The 22,311-nt window shown below is 37.0% G+C and overlaps 1 protein-coding gene across 5 annotated transcripts in view; it reads left to right on the top strand.

The window, feature by feature from the left end:
* SMC1B (structural maintenance of chromosomes 1B) overlaps positions 1 to 22,311 on the top strand; it is a 69,537-nt gene that overhangs the window by 24,992 nt on the left and 22,234 nt on the right. For all 5 annotated transcript variants that reach the window (NM_001291501.2, NM_148674.5, XM_011530144.3 and 2 more), the window contains exons 11-15: positions 1,562 to 1,741; positions 4,995 to 5,141; positions 16,316 to 16,453; positions 17,021 to 17,137; positions 18,548 to 18,654. In NM_001291501.2, the coding sequence (NP_001278430.1) occupies positions 1,562 to 1,741; positions 4,995 to 5,141; positions 16,316 to 16,453; positions 17,021 to 17,137; positions 18,548 to 18,654 (689 nt within the window). The remainder of the gene's footprint in view (positions 1 to 1,561; positions 1,742 to 4,994; positions 5,142 to 16,315; positions 16,454 to 17,020; positions 17,138 to 18,547; positions 18,655 to 22,311) is intronic.

Here is a 22,311-nt window from a genome sequence, read left to right as displayed (position 1 = left end):
TACTTGTAAAGCACCTGGCATAGGACCTGCACAGAGGAGGGGCTCAGCAAATGCTGGCTGGTGTTACTCATGGTCCAGACCTCCCTTTTGTACTTCCACACTGTTGTTACCTTCTGCTCACTAAAACTCTTTACCCCATCTCATCTGTCTGTTAGAATCCTATTTTATTTCTCACTTGAGGTTTTTTCCAAGACAAACTCATTTTTTAAAAAATCTTACACAGAAGTGTATCAAATATAAAGGGGATACTCCTACCCCTTCATAATGCCTGATTCCTTAGTAGTAACTACTTTAGATTGCTTCCATACACTCAATGTATATAACTACATATTCCCAAATGTATATACACACACATACACACACACATTTTAGTTGTATATGAGTTTTCTGCTTTGTTTTGTTTTGTTTTATTAAAAAGTGAGATCATACTTGCTGGGTTTTGGTAATATATTGCAGACACTTTGTGATCTGTTGTAAACCCAAACTAAAGGTCATGACTAAGAAGCTCTGAAGGCTTTCCTGATCATTTAAGTCAAAAGTGTTTTGTTTGTGGGTTTTTTTTGCTGTTTTTTTTTTTGACAGAGGCTCACCCTTGTTACCCAGGCTGGAGTGCAATGGCGTGATCTCGGCTCACTGCAACCTCCGCCTCCCGGGTTCAAGCAATTCTCCTGCCTCAGCCTCCTGAGTAGCTGGGATTACAGGCACCTGCCACCACACCCGGTTAATTTTTGTGTTTTTAGTAGAGACAGGGTTTCACCATGTTGGCCAGGCTGGTCTTGAACTCCTGACCTCAGGTGATCCACCTGCCTCAGCCTCCCAAAGTGCTGGGATTACAGGCGTAAGCTACACGCCTGGCCCAAAAGTGGTTTTTTAAATTCCATAGTGTTTTTCTGCTCTCTTGACACATATCTAAAATGGGCATTATTTTTCACTAGATTTTATGATTTTGAAAGTGTTTTGTGGAACACTTCCTATGCATTGTTTTATCCTGACTAGTTAATGACAGAGTTGAAACTGGAAATTACGTCTTGTGGCTTTCGATGAAGTTTTGTTTTTAAAAAATATTACCCAAACCAATGATGGGATGTAGTTCATCATGTTCTTATCAATCTTTTATGGTATGTAATAACATACTTTTTTTTGTTTTGTTTTGTTTTTGAGACGGAGTCTCACTCTGTTGCCTAGGCTGGAGTGCAGTAGCGCGATCTCAGCTCACTACAACTACTGTCTCCCAAGTTCAAGCGAGTCTCCTGCCTCAGCCTCCTGAGTAGCTGGGATTACAGGCATGTGCCACCATGCCTGGCTAATTTTTCTGTATTTTTAGTAGAGGCAGGGTTTCACCATGTTGGCCAGGCTGGTCTCGAACTCCTGACCTCAAGTGATCTGCCCACCTCAGCCTCCCAAAATTCTGGGATTACAGGCGTGAGCATCACGCCTGGCTGGGTACATACTGTTGATCTTTTGCTGCCATGCGTATATATGTTTTGTGAGAAAGAATATAATGAACATTTGGTTTTTATTTCAGTGTATGTAACATGTTAAATATTTTAAAACCCTTTAGATCAAGCCAATCAATGAAAGACTAAGGGAGCTTAAAGGCTGTAAAATGGTGATTGATGTCATAAAGACTCAGTTTCCTCAGCTGAAGAAAGTGATTCAGTTTGTGTGTGGAAATGGTCTTGTTTGTGAGACTATGGAAGAAGCAAGGCATATTGCACTCAGTGGACCTGAAAGACAGAAAGTAAGAAAAGAGGCTTGGATCACACCTTTGGATAAGTTGAAGTAGTATTTATAAGACTAGCATACACAAACACACACAAATATTTACATATGCGTTTTATGTGTTCTTTTTTCTAAAGAGAACCAACATAGAACCTAAGGTGGTTATGGCTTCAGTGGTTTTTATAATGTTCTGTTGAATTTAGAAAAAAAACTCTTATAGCATTTCTCAACATCATAAATTATAATTTTGGAAATTAGATTTCTTTTAATAATATCTTAAAGCAGTTAGTTGTTGTTGTTGTTGTTGTTGTTTTAAACCTTATATGGACCCTGGATATGGTACCTGTGGTTTTGAATACCAGGAAAGATTTTGGGTATTTATTTTACAATGTGGGCTAATTCTTCCATACTTTAGTGGAGATACTAACTGTCCTTTTGCATATTCAAGGTTTAACATATTTGAATTTCTAGAAAACACAATTGAAATGAGATTACTAAATACAAGTATCTTGAGGGAATAATTTTGGTCTTAAAAATAAGTACTATTTTACTCTCAGTGGAATAGAGAGTATTTAGTTATATTTGTATTTAGTTGAGCAATGTTAAACTCAAATAATCTGACATAGTTTTTTTTTTAAAACTACATTTATGATGAAGTATCACATAATGCTTAAGGGTATAAGCTATAAAGTAAGACCAGTGATGCTACTTAGTAACTAATTATGTGACTTTAGGGAAGTTTCTAAACCTCTAGTTTTAGTTTTCTCATCTAAAATTGGGGAAATAATATTACCTATTTTATAGGGTTATGAGAATTAAATTAAGTAATAACATGAAAAATGCTATTATAGTGCCTGGCAAATAGCTCTCAAAAACTGGTAGTAATTTTATTACCTACTAGTCAATTAACACACTTAATCTGGAATGTCCAGAATTGCAAATTAACAAAAAGCAGGCACTTCTTAATGAGACATGAAGATTTCCAGTGTTAAATTTATTGACTTATCTAACATGATTAATTTTTCATACATTTTGGTGTTTCTGATCAATAATCTTAAGCATAATGTGATCACTGTCATTGAGTTCTACATGTTAAATTTAAGCTAGGGTAGTAAGTTATTAAGTGTTTTTCTTATTTTTCTGCCTAATTAACTGCACTAACATTGACTTTTGTATATTTGTATATTTTATAGAATTGATATTTGAAGATTTGTATAGTCAAATTAAAGAAGTCACATGAAGATATGATTGCTTATTCCTTCATATAACAAATATTTATGGTTTCTATCTTGTTCACAGTAACATCTTTACCCCTTCAGATTGTATCTTATTTTTATCAGTATTTCAAAATTTTAATCAGATGTATCTTATTTGTATCTTAATTATATCTCAGGAACTTTGAAAGAATTTTCTCTGTGTTTTAGATTGGGTCAAACAATTGGATAGATGTCACATTTTCACAGAAATCATCTGGTGAATCATCTGCAATTTGTGCTTTTGGTTTTCTATATACTTGATACCATGTTATAGAATTTTCTTTAGTCAAACATTGCAAGTAGTATTAAATATTTTGGTTTACTTGTTTACTTATAAACTATAGTATGTATAAACTACATACAGTATCTGTAAACTACAAATATGGATTACATCAATTCTGCTAGCTATAGTTTGGGCACCATATTTTAGTGATAACTCAGTTTTTACATATTTAAAAAATTTATGTACCAAAATTTAAAAATCCTGAATCTCTTTACATACATGTAATTATTCTATCTGTTCCACTTAACCAGAGATACAATTATTTATTTTCTTCTCCTATAGACTGGTTGGTTGTTACTCTAAAACATATATATTATAAAAAGATCTATTTATACTGTGCCCTTTTAATATGGTGAAGCAAAAAACAGACCCAGAAAAATGTCAGTAAGTAGCTGGAAAATTTGTGAAAAGATTATTTTTTCCAAAATTGCACATATTAAACAATAATGAATAAAGTGCAGGGTACCACTTTGCTGGTTACCACCTGGAATAAAATATAGTTAATCTAAAACTCTTCCTTGTATCAGGATAAATTCCAGATGAATTAGAAATATTAATTTAAAAAGTAAAACCATAAAATTTCTAAGAGAAACCATGGGAAATTTTTTCTTTTCTTTTTTTTTTTTTGAAATGGAGTCTTGCTCTGTCACCCAGGCTGGAGTGCAGTGGTGTGATCTCTGCTTACTGCAACCTCTGCCTCCCAGGTTCAAGCGATTCTCGTGCCTCAGCCTCCTGAGCAGCTGGGATTACAGGTGCCCACCACCACGCCTGGCTAATTTTTTTATTTTCAGTAGAGATGAGGTTTCACCATGTTGGCCAGGCTCGTCTCAAACTCCTGACCTCAAGTGATCTGCCTCCCAAAGTGCCAGGGTTACAGGCATGAGCCACCACTCCTGGCCTGGGAAATTTTTTCTTAATCTCAGAGACAGGAAGCCTTTTCCAATATGACAAAAAACCCGAAAGCTATAAAAGATGAATGAATTCACCTAATAAAGAGTTTCTGCATGGCAAAGACTACCATAAGAAAAATCAAAAGAAAAATGGCAAACTGGGGAAAATATTTGTAGCTCATAGTAAAGAGCAGATGTTCTTACAAATCACTATGGAAAAGAACAATAATATAGTGGGAAAATGGGCAAGGATATGAACAAACTTGTTTTCATAAGAGGAAATATAATAATTCTTAAACATGAAAATGCAACCTCACTCATATGGGAAATACCCATTAAAATTACACTGAGGTACTATTTTCACCTGTCAGATTGACCAACATCAAAATGTTTAGTAACACTTTATGGGGAAAGAGATTCTTCTGTTCACTGCTGTGGGAACCTAAATTTATACCAGTTCTGTGAAGGGCAGTTATCTCACTTGTACATTTGAGGAACTTAGCATGTAGATTAGCTTACATGTATATGAAATGATATGTGTACAAGCTTTTTTCACTGAACCATTGTGTATAATAGGAAAAATTGGAACCAACCCGGATATTGATATAAGACTAAATCAATAATTTATTGCCTAGAATTGCTTTGGGCCTTAGTAAAATGGGTTTTATATTTGTGGTTTGTTTATTGTTTGGGGTCTCTTCATAAACTAGATATTTTATTAGTAAAGTTCAGTAAGTGGCTTTTCTCATATGTTTTATTCTTAGCTTTAAAAATTGACACATTGTGTCTTTATTTGTATCTTTATGTACATTTCTCCAGGGCAAAATATTTTTACTTTTACAGACAGTAGCTCTTGATGGAACATTATTTTTAAAATCTGGAGTGATCTCTGGAGGGTCAAGTGACTTAAAATACAAGGCTAGATGCTGGGATGAGAAAGAGTTAAAGAATCTAAGAGACAGACGAAGCCAGAAAATCCAAGAGCTAAAGGTAAATCCATGTCATAAAAGTTGTAATATACTAAGTAGAATAATTGTGTTTTTAAACTAGGTGGGTTTTTTATAATAACAGTGCCAATTCTATAGTTTAAGAGTTCAAATAATGCAGAATGAAATAAAAATAAAAAATAAAAATCTTTCCCTTACTCTCTTCCTTATATCTCAGAGTTATTTACTAAACACAGTTTGATACACAGCTTCCAGAAATTTTCTTTGTGTGTGCAAGTGTATGTATTATTTTTCCTATTTTCTTTGTTTTATGATAGACTGTTGCTATAAATAGTGTTTGCAGCAAGTTTTTTGTTTGTTTTTTGTTTTTTTTTTTGAGACAGAGTTTCGCTCTTGTTGCCCAGGCTGGAGTGCCATGGTGCGATCTTGGCTCACCACAACCTCCGCCTCCTGGGTTCAAGTGATTCTCCTGCCTCAGCCTCCTGAGTAGCTGGGATTACAGGCATGTGCCACCATGCCCAGCTAATTTTGTATTTTTAGTAGAGACGGGGTTTCTCCATGTTGGTCAGGCTGGTCTTGAACTCCTGACCTCAGTTGATCCGCCTGCCTTGGCCTCCCAAAGTGCTGGGATTACAGTTGTGAGCCACTGTGCCCGGCCTGATAGGCATTTCTTAAAGTATAACTGAGGTTGGGCATTTCCTCATGAATTTAATGGTCCTCTGTAATTTTTCCTTCTGTGAACTGCTTATTTTCTCTGCACATTTTTCTAGTACATTGTTTCTTATTTCATTACTATTTTAAGAATTATTTGTATTAAGTAAATTAGTTCTTAGTCATATGTATTGTAAACATTTTTTCATTTGATTTTTAGTCAGCTTCAGGTGGAATATAATTTATATACAATAGCAGTCACCCATTGTAAGTATAATTTAGTAACTTTTGACAAATGTATGTAGTCACGTAACCATCACTGCACTCATGACATAGAACATTTTCTTCACCCCGCAGAATTCCTTTGGGTTCCTTTTACTCAGTCCCCTCTTCTGGACCCCTTGGGGCCTCACAACCCAATCTACTTTCTGTCATTATAGTTTTTCCTCTTCTAGACTTTCATATAAATGGATTCATACAGTCAGTAGTCTTTTGTGTTATGTTTTCTTCACTTAGCTTAGTATTTTTGAGATTCATGTTGTATGTATCAAAAGTTTATTCCTTTTTAATTGCTGAGTATTTCTTTCACATTGACTTTGTTCTTTTTGTCATACATGCATTTTTAATCTTTATGTAGCCAAATTTAATCTTTTATAACTTCTGGATTTTAGGATGTGTTATGCTTAGAAAGACCAAATTCTTTCTGAAGATCACAAAAGAAGTTCAATAATGCTTCCTTCTAGTGCTTTTGTGTTTTTAACATTTATATTTTTTATTCATCTGGAATTTATTTTGATGACTGGGGATCCAGCTTTATTTTTACCAACTGACTTACCATTTTACAAAAGTATCATTTGTTGAATATTGTAATTCCCTCATTTATTGAAGCCAAATTTTACAGATGCTAAATCAATATAGAATGCTTTCAGATTATTTATTTATTGTTTCTATTTAGTTTTCTTCCTTGGTTGATTCAAGCATATATTTTGGCAAGGTTACTTGACTAATTTTCATCTTTTTCTGAAGCATAAGACTACATTTTATGTTTTAATCTAAGGTATAGGAATATTCAGCTTTTAAAGATTTTAACAAATTTAGGCCTAGGCACAGAAAAAGTTCTGGGAAGATGCCAACTTAAAGCAAATCTTGCTTCCCATCCATGTCCATGCTAAGGTTCCATCTGTGTGTCACAACCTGAACCAGGTGGCAGCTAGGAGGGAATGATGTCTTGGGTTCTGAGGGAGGCTGCTGGGAAAAGCTGATATAGGGCTTCGTCTCTTTTGATGTGAAAAGTGCTTGGGTAAGAATCAGGACATAGTGGAATCTGGGGGTAAGTTAAACATTTGTCCCATGTGAAGATGCCTGGTCTTGAACCCCACGAAGCTAAATATTAGCTTAGCAGGAAGTTTGTGGCCTCCCTATTCCTGAGTTTGGAAGAGTCCAGGGATACCAGAGAGGTATCTTTTCTTCTGCCTCAGGGTGGTCTCTGTCTCAGGGTGGTACTGACAGTCTTCTCTTGTAATTACTGACCCTCAGGTATAGAAAATCCTTGTGGGGTGCTGTGATTTAGGGTACTTTAATACTCAGACATGATCCTCAGTGGGCAAAGAAATACATAAACGTATCTGAGGTGTTCTAGGAGCCAGGCAATAACTTGAACAAAAAAAGTAATGGAGCATTAAGGAAATTTAGTATAGTGTCATCCTTCCCCTGCCAATCCCCAGCGCACAAAAAGATTTCCTAGGACTAAAAAACGTACTTCTGGCCAGGCATGGTAGCTCACGCCTGTAATCCCAGCATTTTGGGAGGCCAAGGCGGGTGGATCACCTGAGGTCAGGAGTTCGAGACCAGCCTGGCCAACAGGATGAAACTCCATCTCACAAAAAAAAAAAAAAAAAGTACTTCTTTTATTGTTTGTTTGTTTGTTTTTTAAAGAGACAGTTCTTGCTCCATCACCCAGGCTAGAGGGCAGTGGTGCCATCATAGCTCAGTGTAACCTTGAACTCCTGGGTTCAAGGGATCCTTCTACCTCAGCCACCCAAGTAGCTGGGACTACAGGGGTGTACCACCAGGCCCTGCTAATTTTTTTTTATTTTAATTTTTTGTAGCGACAGGGCCTTGTTATATTGACCAGGCTGGTCTTGAACTCCTGGCCTTAAGCAGTCCTTCCACTTTGGCTTCCCAAAGTGCTGGAATTATAGGTATAAGCCACCACCTCTGGCCAAAAACATATTTCTTAACTGTAAAATGTAGTAGATGAATTGAAGGAAAGCATGTCATTGCTGAGAACCAAATTTGTAACCTGGCAGACTAAGTGGAAGAAGCTTCTCAATTAGGGTAATAAAATTACAAATATGAAGTAGGAGGAAAATAGAGACTTAGTAGATAGACTCAGGAAACTTGATGTGAGACTAATAAATTCTTGAAAGGAGGAAAAGAACATAGAGAAGGAGAAAATTAAAAACAAGAAAATTTCTCTAAGGATCAACTTTAATTGACCAGTTGAAAGGACACACAGAGTTTCACGTACGTTTGGTGGGAAAGGGCCCACAATAACACACATCTGGGTGTAACTCCTTAACCTATAGGTTATAGAAGCAATGCTAAGCTACCTGCCCTTCAAGAAAAATTCCTTATACGTTTAAACAAAAAAAAGGCTCGTATCAGACTGCAAAACTGGATGGGACTATGGAATAATAGCTAAAAGGAAGAGGACTACAACCAAGATATTATTTACCTTTCGAGGATCTGCCAATAAGCAAATTCAGATTGTCATCCACGTACTCCATGTGACAAAAATACTAGAGAAAGTACTCTTAAGTGGCTGGGAGCAATAGCTCATACCTGTAATCCCAGCACTTTGGGAGGCTGAGGCTGGTGGATCACTTGAGGCCAGGAAGGAGTTTAAGTCCTGCCTGGCCAACATGGTGAAACCCTGTCTCTACTAAAAATACAAAAATTAGCTGGGCGTGGTGGCCTGCACCTGTGAACCCAGCTACTTGGGAGGCTGGGGCAGGAGATTCGCTTGCACCCAGGAGGTGGAGGTTGCAGGGAGCCCAGATTGCGCCACTGCACTCCAGCCAAGAATTCACTCCAGAGCAAGAATCTGTCTCAAAAAAAAAAAAAAAAAAAAAAGTAAAAAGAAAAAGGAAAGTACTCTAAGCAACACATGAATTAGAATAGACCTAATTATAATAAACGAATAGTGCTAAACTAACTCAGCAAAGTCAAGGAATTAGAAGTGGAGAGAAAGGTCAATGTGTTCCAAAAGTCTCATCTGTGAGGAGAGGAAGTTAGAATATTCTAAAGACCGTATGTATATTGGACGCAGGGGGACAGGAGGGACTAGAGTGTTAAAAAGTATACCAAGCTAACACAGGGACAAATAGAAAACCAATAAAAATGAGTGAAAAGAATAAAACAAAAGCAAGATGGAAGTAATGAAATTTTTGTATGTCAGTGATTACGGTAAACATGAGTAGATTTAAGTCTCCCATTAAAAGATCAAGACTCATAGATTTAAAAAGTGAGTGTTATTTACAAGAAGTCATTTTAAAACTGAATGTTGAGGCTGGGCATGGTGGCCCACGCCTGTAATCCCAACACTTTGGGAGGCCAAGGTGGGTGGATCACTTGAGGCCAGGGGTTCAAGGGATCGAGACCAGCCTGGCCAACATAGTGAAACCCTGTCTCTACTAAAAATACAAAAATTAGCTGGGCTTGGTGGCACGCACCTGCAGTCCCAGCTACTCAGGAGGCTGAGGCAGGAGAATTGCTTGAACTGGGAGGCAGAGGTTGCAGTGAGCCAAGATCATGCCGCTTCACTCCAGCCTGGGCAACAAGGCAAGACTGTCTCAAAAGAAAAGAAAAAAGAAAAAAACCTGAATGTTGAAAAATAATGGGATGCTTACCTGACAAATGCAAACAAAAAGAAAACAAAAGTAATAATATCAGACAATGTGAACTTTAAGGTTAAAAATCCTTGTGTGTAGTAAGCTTTCAGTAAGTACTTACAATTTAATTGAATAAAGAAGATTATATGTAACATAAGACAAAGATTTCCATTATAAATCTGTTTGCAGCACATAGCACCTAAATATTAATATTTAGAGTGAGACTAATTTTTTTTAATAGAATGGAAAAGATAACTCAGGAGTTGGAAAATCACTCTTAGAAGGAAAGGTTAAGTGTTTAGTTTGGTTGAATTAGGGAAAAGAAGGCTTGAAACTACTTCTTAATTAAAAATAAAAATATAGTGGAACATTTCAGCAGAGTGACTTCTAAGTTACACGCTTTTATGCTTTAGTTTCCTCATCAGTATAATGGGGATAATAATAACATCTATTTCGTAGCATTAAGAGGATTAAGTTGGTTAATAAATGTAAATTGCATAGAACAGTAAGTGCTCAATAAATGTGAGATACTGTTAAAAATATCTGTTAAACATTTATGAAAATTGATCATATGCTCGGCCACAATGGAAACCTCAATAGTTTTTTTAAAGTAGAGCTTTTTATAGGTCAGCTAGATGATAATTTAATGAAATAAGAAATAGTGACCAAAATAATATTTGTCTCTATAGAAATTAAGAAGTGTATTTGTAGATAGTTTTGGGATTAAGGAAGCAATCCAGAGGCAAATTACAAAATATTTCAAAACTGATGAATAGGAATATACTTCCTACCATTATCTTTGAGACACAGTAAAAGCTACATCAAGAGGAAAATGTCTACATTACTAAAGAAGAAAGAAAATATAAGGGAACTTATTAGTCACTCTAAAAAAAATAGAGGAATCACAGACTGGGCAACATAGTGAGACCTCTTCTCTACAAAAAATAAAAAATTAAAAAATTAGCCAGGAGTGGTGGCATGCACCTGTAGTCCCAGCTACTTGGCAGGAGGAACACTTAAGCCTGGGAGGTCAAGGCTGCAGTGAGCAGTGATTATGCCACTGCACTTTAACCTGGGTAACAGAAGGAGACCCTGTCTCAAAAAAAAAAAGGAAAGCAATTAGAACAACTGGCCAGGCGTGGTGGCTTTTGCCTGTAATCTCAGCACTTTGGGAAGCCAAGGCAGGAGGATCACTTGAGCCCAGGAGTTCGAGACCAGCCTGGACAACATGGTAAGACCCCATCTCTATTTAAAAATAAACAAAAATAAAAGAAATTAGAATACCCACAAAATAACAAAAGTTATACAAGGAATTTTTTTTTTTTTTTTGAGACAGAGTCTCACTCTGTTGCCCAGGCTAGAGTACAGTGGGTGATCTTGGCTCACTGCAACCTCTGCCTCCCGGGTTCAAGCAATTCTCCTGCCTCAGCCTGCCGAGTAGCTGGGATTACAGGCACACACCACCATGCCCAGCTAATTTTTTGTATTTTTAGTAGAGACGGGGTTTCACCATGCTGGCCAGGCTGGTCTGGAACTCCTGACCTTGTGATCTGCCTGCCTTGGCCTCCCAAAGTGCTGGGATTACAGGCATGAGCCACCATGCCCAGGCTAGGAAATTTTGTTAAAGCTGACATTAATTTCGTAGAAAACAAATGAAAATAGAAAAGGGGCAAATCTAAAAGCTAGTGCTTTTGAAAGACTAGATAAACTCTGCAATCCTAATGAAGGAAAAAAAAGCTAGACGCAAACATACATGATCAGGAATGAAAACATTAAAATAATTTTAAAAGAATCCTACATGCAAATAACTGTATAGTTTTAAAAATTGATAATCTGGAAGAAATGGATATTTTTTAGAAAATATAAATTACCAAGATTGAACAAAAAAAAGTGAAATGTTTGAAAAGATAGGCAGTGGTGTGGTTTGCTGGCCTAATCCCCATCCACAGTTTCCTTCCTTTCTAGACTCTATTACAAGATTGTGAAAAACAAAAACAACTTAATTTCACAAGTTGCCTTGTAGCTAGGGCTGGCCATGTGACAAGTTTTGGCCAGTGAGATATAAATGAAAGTTTTGGTGTTCTGCATTTCTTCCTCCTGACTGGAACGCAGTCAAGATGCAGCAGCAATATTGCACCAAGGGAAAAGCAAACATGAGGATCAAAGCCATTGTACTAAGGAGCTGAAAATTAGATCCATTATTGAGTCATGGCATCAGTCTAACTAGTTTTGTGTGAGGAAAAAAAAAACTATATTTAATGCCACTGTGATCTACACTGAAAAAAGACTTCAGGAATATAAAATGGTGTATCATATCATGGAAAATGGTATGATGGCTTCTCAAAAAATCAAAAATAGAATTACCATATGATCCAGCAATTCTTTTTTTTGTCACCCCAGAAACCTGTGAATATGTTGGGCATATACCCAAAACAAGAAAGTAGGGTCTTAAAAAGAGATTTATACACCCATGTTCATAGCAGCATTATTCACAATAGCCAAAAGGTAGAAGCAATCCAGGTGTCAATCAACAGATGAATGGATAAACAGAATGTGGTATATACATACAATGGAATATTATTCAGCATTAAAAATGGAGGAAATTGTGGCATATGCTACAACATAGATGAAACTTGAAGACAAATACTGTCTGATTCCACTAACATGAGGTACCTAGAGTAGTCCAATTCATAAGAGACAGAAAGGAGGCCAGTGGTTGCCAGTGGCTGTAGAAGGGGAGAGAATGAGTTGTTGTTTAAGTGAGACAGAGTTTCAGTTTTGGAAGATGAAGAGATCTGGAGATTGCTTGCACACAATGTGGATATATTTAAACACTACTGAACTGTACACTTAGAAATGGTAAAGCTCTCACGACTATGCTTGACTAGCCAAATAAAAATGGTAACGATGGTAAATTTTATGTTACGTATATTTTACCACAAGTAAAAACCAAAAATAACCTCTGGGACCAGATGGGCTTACAGCTCAGTTCTATGTAACATATAAAAAAGATGGAAACTTTCCAGCTTATTTTATAAAGGTAGTATAACTTTAATATAAAATATATAGTACAAAAAATAAAACTAAAAACTGACTTCCCTTATGAGTATAAATATATAATATCTAAATGTCAGTATTAGAGAATTGAACACTGTAGTAAAATAATACATCTGACTAGATAGAATTTATTTCACAAATACAAGGGTGTTTAAGTGATCATCATAATCTATTAATGAATTAAAGGCAGGAGAAAAGTCATGTCATCATATGTAGAAAAGGCATTTGATAAAATTCAGCAGCCAGACCTAGTTTAAATACTACTAAGTAAAAGACTAATTAGTGGAAATTATTTAAATAAAATAAATAGCTCTTACTTGAACAGAAATAATTGCTTAAATGGTGAAAACACTGAAATCATTTCAGTTAAAATCAAGAAATAGTTATCTGTTATCACTATTCAATGTAGTCTTGGAAGTGTGAACCCTGAATATCTGAGACAGGTCTCAGTTAATTTAGAAAGTTTATTTTGCCAAGGTTGAGGACGCACATCCATGACACAGTCTCAGGAGGTCCTGACAGCATGTGCCCAAGGTGGTCAGAGCACAGTTTGGTTTTATACATTTTAGGGAGAAATGAGACATCGATCAACATATGTAAGATGAATATTGGTTCGCTCTGGAAAAGGCAAGACAACTGGAAGCAAAGGCAGGATAACTCGAAACAGAGAGGGGGCTTCCAGGTCATAGGTAGATAAGAGACAAATGGTTGCATTATTTTAAGTTTCTGATTAAGCCTCTCCAAAGGAGGCAGTCAGATATGCATTTATCTTGGTGAACAGAGTGGGGACTCTGAATAGAATAGGAGGCAGGTTTCCTCTAAGCAGTTCCCAGCTTGACTTTTCCCTTTAGCTTAGTGATTTTGGAGCCCCAAGATTTATTTTCCTTTCACATTTCCCCCCTTTTCTTTTTAAAAATATTTTGGAGAAAGCATTTTAGAGGAAAATGATTCTCTGGTCTCAGGTTTCATGTGATCTCTCATGGCTAGGATGGTTTATTTCTAGATGAGTAGGTTCCAAGTTACTAGGAAAGCTGATTTTCTCATGTCCTGTGAAAATAGGGGAAGGAAGGAAGAACAACAAAAAAAGAAGAACAATCCTGGAAAATCGATATAGGCCACATTACTCTGAAGTCCATACATTAGTAGGCAGGTATGAAAGTGGCTTATGTGTATAAATAGGTTGCTGTTATTTTCTTCTGAAGTTTAAGTTGTGTAGCTTCAGTTCGTAGGGCTTTACGAAAAGCACAGCTTAGTTTTCAGCAACTCCAAATTAGGAAAAATGGGGAAAAAAGAAGGAAAACAATTGAAAACATTATTTTGAAGACTTGTAACCAAGAAAAATTAGAATTTGGTCCAAACTGTAAAAATTCAAAAACATTAGGCAAGACTAGACTGTAACAACAGGTGTACTAGTTTTTGAAACATAATATTTCTCTCTCCAGTTTTCCATTTTTACTAAAGACAAGTCATGGTAGGACTGAACTGCTGTATTGTACTGGGCCTGATATTTGTACACATGTTGCAAGAGTAATTTTTTACATCAAACCCAATCTCTAGAAAGACCATTATAATTTCCCTTTAATTAGAGACAACTTGATCATCTAAAAGTTTTTTGTTTTTTTTTCTATAAATCTTTTTATTGTGACTTACACAGACCACTCATGATATGCTTGAACTTTCTGGTTTGTCCTGAACATCCCTTTTTCTTAAACAACCAGTCATTTTATTCTAGGACTAAATTTACTACACAAGATTCTTTCTCATATAAAATTATTTCTCTTTAAGCTTTCTTACCAAAAAAAAAAAAAAAAAAAAAAACCGTCTTTGTTTTTATAACTTTCTTTACTTCTCTCTTATTTTCCGGTTTCTTTTACCTTGTTTTATACATAACCTTTAAATAAGCTTTGAATTAGACAAAAATTGTTCACCTTTTTGAAATGGACACCCTTTTTTTTAGAATGTTTTCCTACAATATATTTTTATTGGAAAATACCCAAATAATGAAATATCTATTATTTAATGTAACTTTAGATTCCAAATTATGAGTTTGTCTACAAGTATTTATCCCATCACATTTGCCTAATTATTTTAATCATTTACCTAGATTATTTATGAAAACTGCAATAGTCATCATTTAAAGTTATGGAACCGCCATTGCAAAATTATAACTGAGGCAGTGAAAAACGTCTGACTTAACTGACCCTACCTCGCTTCTAACCTCCAAGTTGTCCTTGTTCATTCCTGGGCCTAGGCCAAACTAACTTTGGGAGGAAGTTAGGTTATAGTTTAGCTTTGAAACAAAGACAGTAACAGCCCTTTCCCAAAACAAACCTTACTGCCTGTGGACTAGACTGCCTAAAGCCTCAAATTAGAAGTTATGGTAATCTTACTAAATTCAAGATATAGCTATTTACAGGTACCTTACAGGTTAATGAAACAACAGGAATTCCAGAAATAGAGCCCAGTATGCTTAACAATTAATGTTCAACCAAGATGATGTTTTAGTTCAGTGAGAAAAGGATAGATTATTTAATAAATGGTATTGGCACATCTGGAGAAAGTAATTTTGTGCCCCATCTTATTGTAAACCGAAGGTATCTTGAGACAGGTCTCAATCAATTTAGAAATTTATTTTGCCAAGGTTAAGGACATGCCTGTGACACCACCTCAACAGGTCCTGAGAACGTGTGCCCCAGGTCACCAGGCTGCAGCTTGGTTGTATATGTTTTAGGAGACTTAAGACATCAATCAATACATGTCAGATGTACCTTGGTTAAGTCCAGAAAGGCAGAAGAACTGGGAGCTGGGGGTTGGAGAAAGCACTTCCAAGTTATAGGTAGATTCAGAGTTTCTGCTTGGCAGTTGGTTGAAAGAGTTTATCTGAAGACCTGGAGTCAGCCGGGTGCGGTGGCTCACGCCTGTAATCCCAGCACTGTGGGAGGCTGAGGTGGGTGGATCACAAGATCAGGAGATCGAGATGATCCTGGCTAACACGATGAAACCCCCGTCTCTACTAATAATACAAAAAATTAGCTGGGCCTGCTGGCGGGTGCCTGTAGTCCCAGCTACTCAGGAGGCTGAGGCAGGAGAATGGCGTGAACCTGGGAGGCGGAGCTTGCAGTGAGCCAAGATTGTGCCACTGCACTCCAGTCTGGGCGACAGAGCAAGACTCTGTCTCAAAAAAAAAAAAAAGACCTGGAGTCAATGGGAGGGAGTGTCTGAGGGAGTTAATTTGGTTGAGTAATAAGGTGAGTGAAAGAAGAAGGGAGTGAGAGAGGCAAGCCAAAACAGAAAGATGCACTAAAAACAAGGCAATTACATGATCCTATTTATGTCATTAATGTGCGTTGGATGGAATATACACACCCCTCTTCATTTTCCATTCCCAATTCTTTCCTATTAAGCACTGTTAGTTTTTTTGAGGAAGCTGTATGGCATTTTGGTTACTCCAGATCACTAATGTACTTAATTGCCCAGTCTCTTATCAGAGGAAAGGGAGGTAAGGTGCAGGTGTGGTGGTATGTAAAAATCAGTGAATTATTACATATGAAAGCACTTTGAAAAGTGAAAGTGCTTTTCTATCATAAAATATTCTCATGTTTTTCTTTCCTTTTAGGGTTTAATGAAGACACTCCGCAAAGAAACAGATTTGAAACAAATACAGACCCTGATACAGGGAACTCAAACACGACTCAAATATTCACAAAATGAACTAGAGATGATTAAGAAGAAGCACCTTGTTGCTTTTTACCAGGTAATATAGACTTACATAAAATATGATAGGCATTTGACCCAGAACATAGAATTTCAGGAATTACATTTATATAGCTCCATGTAATTTTCAGATACTTTTTTTTTTTTCCTGAGACAGAGTCTCTCACTCTGTCACCCAGGCTGGAGTGCAGTGGCTTTATTTCTGTTCGCTGCAACCTCCATCTCCCAGGTTCAAGTGATCCTCCTGCCTCAGCCTCCCGAGTAGCTGGGATTACAGGCATGTAATTTTTGTATTTTTTTAGTAGACATGCGGTTTCACCATGTTGGCCAGGCTGGTCTCAGACTCCTGACTTCAGGTGATATGCCCACCTTGGCTTCACAAAGATTACAGCCACCATGCCTGGCCAATTTTTAGATACTTTATCCCATGATTGAGATTATATTATAGTCCCTTAATTATTTATGTGGTATTTAACCTTTTATCCAGGTGAATTCATCTTATCTCATAGATTCTTCTTTTATTCCAAAAGATACCTATCACATTTTTGGCTTCACTATATAAAGCTAAAACAGCCATGTTAAAAAAATTTTTCTCTTTTGTTATTAGGAACAATCTCAGTTACAAAGTGAACTACTAAATATTGAGTCTCAATGTATTATGTTGAGTGAAGGAATCAAGGAACGACAACGAAGAATTAAAGAATTTCAAGAAAAGATAGATAAGGTCATGAATGTTATATTTATTCCTAAATGGTATATGTAGTTCTAGACCAGATACTAGATTTAGGGCTTCTTAAATATATGCTAAAGCAAAGGTTGATAGGTAACAGTGCCCTGTCAGAAACAACAATGTTGTAAGCTAAGTTTTATTGGTTTGCCAAATTTTCCTTGTGTTTTTTGAGAACCTCTGTTGCTCACCTCAAGAGACAATGACCTGTGCCTACTCTCCTCTGCACTCCAACCTCTCCTTGCCCACTGTGAAAATTATAGTCTCATTCTTTTCTCCCACTTCCCTAATACCATGAGGGAAAGAACTGTCATTCAGCTTATCTTTTAAGGTTATTTATTCACTCAGGAGTTTTTTTTAAAACACCTATTCTGTGTCAGGCACAGTACTTGGCTCTAGGACAATAAAAATTTGGTCACCTAGATTCTGCTTATAAAGGGATAGAAACTTTCTGATTTAATCCATTCCACCGTGGGGTATCTCTGATCCTTACAAAGTGATTTGTTACACCACCCATTGATTAATTCCACCCATTGCTTTTAGGCCTGACGTTTACCACGATTTGGAACCACACTTACGTTACTTCCTAATTAGTTATCTCTTTTCCAGGTTAAATATCCCTAGTTTCTTTATTCATTTCACATTACCATGGATTTAAGACCAGCTCTGGTAACCATCCTCTGGATGTTATCAATGCCCCTGAACAGAGCATGATGTCAAAATATTGTCTGTACAGCATATTGTGGGTCTGTATGTTTATAACTGTAACTTTCCATGACTTGGATTATCTAGTCATGCTAACTGTAGCTTACTACTGCGTCAGTCATACCACATTCATATTTAATGTATATTCAACTAAAATCTGAAAGTTTTTAAAAATGTCCTGTTCTTAAAATAGTTCTTTCTCATCCTATAATTATACATAAAATGAGAGCTTTAAAACATTGAGGTTAAATTTTACTTTGTTGAATTTCCCCATTCTAGCTTTTCCAAGTCTTTTTCATTCTTAATTCTATGCCCCATTCCACTTGTTACTATACTGGCAAAGGTGCTATTGTATTACTCATACATAAAGAATCTTTCCTTTATTTATGTAGAATGTAATATTTTTGTGGGTCTAAAGTAAAAGGAATTCTTCCAGTTTTATACTAAACATTCATAAAGCCAAAGCACTTAATAAGGCCAATTATGATCTTTCTTAGTTTTTTTGAATAAGAAATTTGAAAGTAGATGGCATAATTTATGGAATTAAAGGAAAAAAAAGTACTGGCTTCTCAGAATACAGTAATGCTTGGTGGGATTAGTTTTTGGCCTAATTCAGGAAAATCTTGGAGGGAAAAACATATTTAAGATTATATATTTCTTAAAATTGCTTATTAAATCAATTGTTTTAAAATAATTTAAAAGGTAGAAGACGATATCTTCCAACACTTCTGTGAAGAAATTGGCGTGGAAAATATTCGTGAATTTGAGAACAAACATGTTAAACGGCAACAAGAAATTGATCAAAAAAGGTATTTTTATAAAAAGATGTTGGTAAGGAGCTTACATATTTATAAAAATAGTTATTATTTCATAATTTAGAGGAATTATGCCTGAGTTTCATTTCATCAAGAAACAGCTAGGCCGGGCACGGTGGCTTACGCTTGTAATCCCAGCACTTTGGGAAGCCAAGGCAGGCGGATCACGAGGTCAGGAGATCGAGACCATCCTGGCTAACATGGTGAAACCCCGTCTCTACTAAAAATACAATAAAAATTAGCCAGGCGTGGTGGCAGGTGCCTGTAGTCCCAGCTACTCGGGAGGCTGAGGCAGGAGAATGGTGTGAACCCAGGAGGCGGAGCTTGCAGTGAGCGGAGATTGCGCCACTGCACTCCAGCCTGGACGATGGAGCGAGACTCCATCTCAAAAAAAAAAAAAAAAAAGAAACAGCTAGTAAAAATTTATATTCTTACAAAGAGATCTAACTTTTTTGTTCCATAATTTTTTAAAGAGAGAAAGCATAAATACACAAAATAAGAGAATAGGGGCATAATTACACGTATACTGGTTATTAAAAGAATAAGACAATAGGCCAGGTGCAGTGGCTCATGCCTGTAATCCCAGCACTTTGGGAGGCCGAGGCAGGCGGATCATGAGGTCAGGAGATAGAGACCATCCTGGCTACCACGGTGAAACCCCGTCTCTACTAAAAATACAAAAAATTAGCTGGGCATGGTGGCAGGCGCCTGTAGTCCCAGCTACTCGGAAGGCTGAGGCAGGAGAATGGCATGAACCTGGGAGGTGGAGCTTGCAGTGAGCCGAGATCGTGCCACTGCACTTAGCCTGGGCGACAGAGCAAGATTCCGTCTCAAAAAAAAAAACAAAAGAATGAGACAATAATTTGCTTGTCTGTAAATATTCATATATGTAGATAGTAAGTGGTAATTTTCAAGAAATAATATATTACCAAAAATTATCTCAAGATAGAAAAATCTAAGATGGCCAGTTACAATAGGAAGAGAAAGTAAAAAGGCTTCCTACCCACCCCATTGCCAAATACACCAGGTACAGATAGCTTCACAGGTGAATTATCTCAGCAGACTTTAAAGGCACATGTAACTTCAGTGTTTAATGTCTAAACAGATGTTCAATATTAAAACTGTTTCAGCCCAGGTGTGGTGGCTCACGCCTGTAATTCCAACACTTTGGGAGGCCGACCGAGGCAGGTGGGTCATGAGGTCAGGAGTTCAAGACCAGCCTGGCCAAGATGGTAAAACCCCATCACTACTAAAAATACAAAAATTAGCCAGGCGTGGTGGTGGGTGCCTGTAATCCCAGCTCCTTTGGAGGCTGAGGCAGAGAATTGCTTGAACCCAGGAGGCAGAAATTGCAGTGAGCCGAGATCATGCCAGTGCACTCCAGCCTGGGTGACAGAGCGAGACTCGGTCTCAGAAAAAAAAAAAAAAAACTATTTCAGAATGTAGAAGAGGAAAAAATGCATCTTTTTATGAAAGGAACATAATACTGATTCCAAAATTCAAAAAAGTATACATACAATAAGAAACTGTAAATCAATGTCACCTATAAATAACCAAGTAAAACAAGGTTAAATACAAATCAGCAGTACAACAACAAAATAATGTACCATTATCTAGTGGGCTTTATATCAGAACTATAAGGATGGTTCTGTATCAGGAAATCTATTGTTTAATTCACCATATTAAGAAAGAATCATATGATCAACTCTAAGGATGATGAAAAAACACTTGACAAAATTCAGCATTTATTCTTGGTTGAATATTCTTAAGATGTGAATAGTTAAGATACCTATGATATGAAAAAATACATCTCAGAAATCAGCATTGTGGTTTCATGGTTTCACTTCCTAGTAATGTCAGAAATTAGAGATACTCAGTATCACTATTATCTAATATTATTCTAGAGATACTAGTCAATAAAGTTAGACAAGAAAAATAAAGTATACAAATTTGGCAGTGACATCACCAAAATGTCAGAATAGAATCAAGCTGGCTTCACTGCTTCCCAGAGAAAACCATAAACAAATATACAGTGCTGAGATTGTCACCAGCAATATCCCAGAATTCAAAAACAAGAATGAGACAGTTCCTGAAGCCACAGAGAAGTGAAAAATCTTGCAGACAATAAGAGAATTGGACTTACATCTGTGGTGCCCTTATCCCAATATGTCAGGCACCAAGTGTGCAGAAAAATTTCCCCTGACTCGTGGTTACTACCCTGGAAAGAGTGAGATCAAGGTGGACAACCAGCTTCCTCACCATCTTGGGTTCCCTGGCAAGGGGCCTGTCCCTGCCTCAGCCCATAGGAAGTATCACTGAAGGGAGAAAAGTTCCTGAGGACCGACAGACAAAGCAGTGAAGCAGGACTAGCATCCCCAGTCCAGGAAACTCTGCTGTGTAACTTGGTCAAAGGAGACACCAAATTAGAGTGGCTGTTCAGCAGCATCACACAGCAACACCACACAGAGGTAGGTTCCATAGGTCCCCTGGGCACCAGCCTGTAGCCAGCCTTCCCAAATTGTCAGGATATCCCCTTTAGGATCTCCCCCATGCAAGATAGGCAACGCTCCAAAGTTTGCTGGAGCTGAAGCAAACCTGAGCTTAAGGCATCACCTGGTGCCAAAAAGCAGGCAGTGAGCCTATCAGCGGGGAAAAAAGAAAAGGTACCCAACAGGTATATTGCAAATTTCTAAGCAAACATACCAAATAAAAAAACAAAAACAAGCCAGACAGAGATAATCCTTTAATGTGAAGAGATAGATGTACATCCACAAGAAACAATAGCAAACGGGGAACCATGACCTCCCAAAACAGACAAAGCAAGGAGCCAGTAACTGAGCCTAGTGAGACTAGTAGGCAAGCTCTCTGATCAAGAACTTAAAATAGAAGTTTTAAGGAAACTTGGTGATCTCCAAAATAACAGAAAAGCAACTCAGAAATTTATCGGAGAAGCTTAACAAAGAGATTGAAATGCTGGAACTGATAAATACATTTGCTGAACTGGAAAATTCCTTAGAGGCTGTTAACAGCAGAATGGATCAAGCAGAGGAAAGAATCAGTAAGCCTGAAGATAGGCTACAGGAAAAGACAGAAGAGAAAAAAAGAATGAAAGGAATGAAGAATGCCTACAAGATATAGAAAATTATCTCAAGAGCAAATCTAAGAATTATCTGTGGCTGAGTGCAGCGGCTTATGCATGTAATCCCAGCACTTAGTTTTTTGGAGTTTTGCCACGTTGGCCAGGCTAGTCTCAAACTCCTGACCTCAGGTGATCCATGCACCTCGGCCTCCCAAAGTGCTGGGATTACAGGTGTGAGCCACCACACCCAGCCAGATTTTACTTAATGTATTTTCAAGCCTTGTTATTAGGTGCATACATATTTGGGATCACTGTCTTTTTGATGAATTAATTCATCATCATAAAATGCCCCCTCTTTAACCTTGTCATATTTCTTCTTCTGAGGTAAACTTTGAACTTGTCTAGTTATATGACTTTAAGTAACATTTATATACTGACATTCCCAAAATTTGTACCTTTAGCCTGGACCTCTTATTTAGACTTGCTTTCTAAATAATTCTGCCTATTACAATGTTTATTGAGGTTCTCACAAAAATCCAACTGGAGGCTGGACATGGTAGCTGACACCTGTA

Source organism: Homo sapiens, chromosome 22 (assembly GCF_000001405.40).
Source record: "Homo sapiens chromosome 22, GRCh38.p14 Primary Assembly".
NCBI classification, from domain to species: Eukaryota; Metazoa; Chordata; class Mammalia; order Primates; family Hominidae; genus Homo; species Homo sapiens.
Note: the sequence above shows the minus strand (reverse complement) of the source record. Positions and strands in the feature narration are given on the sequence as shown.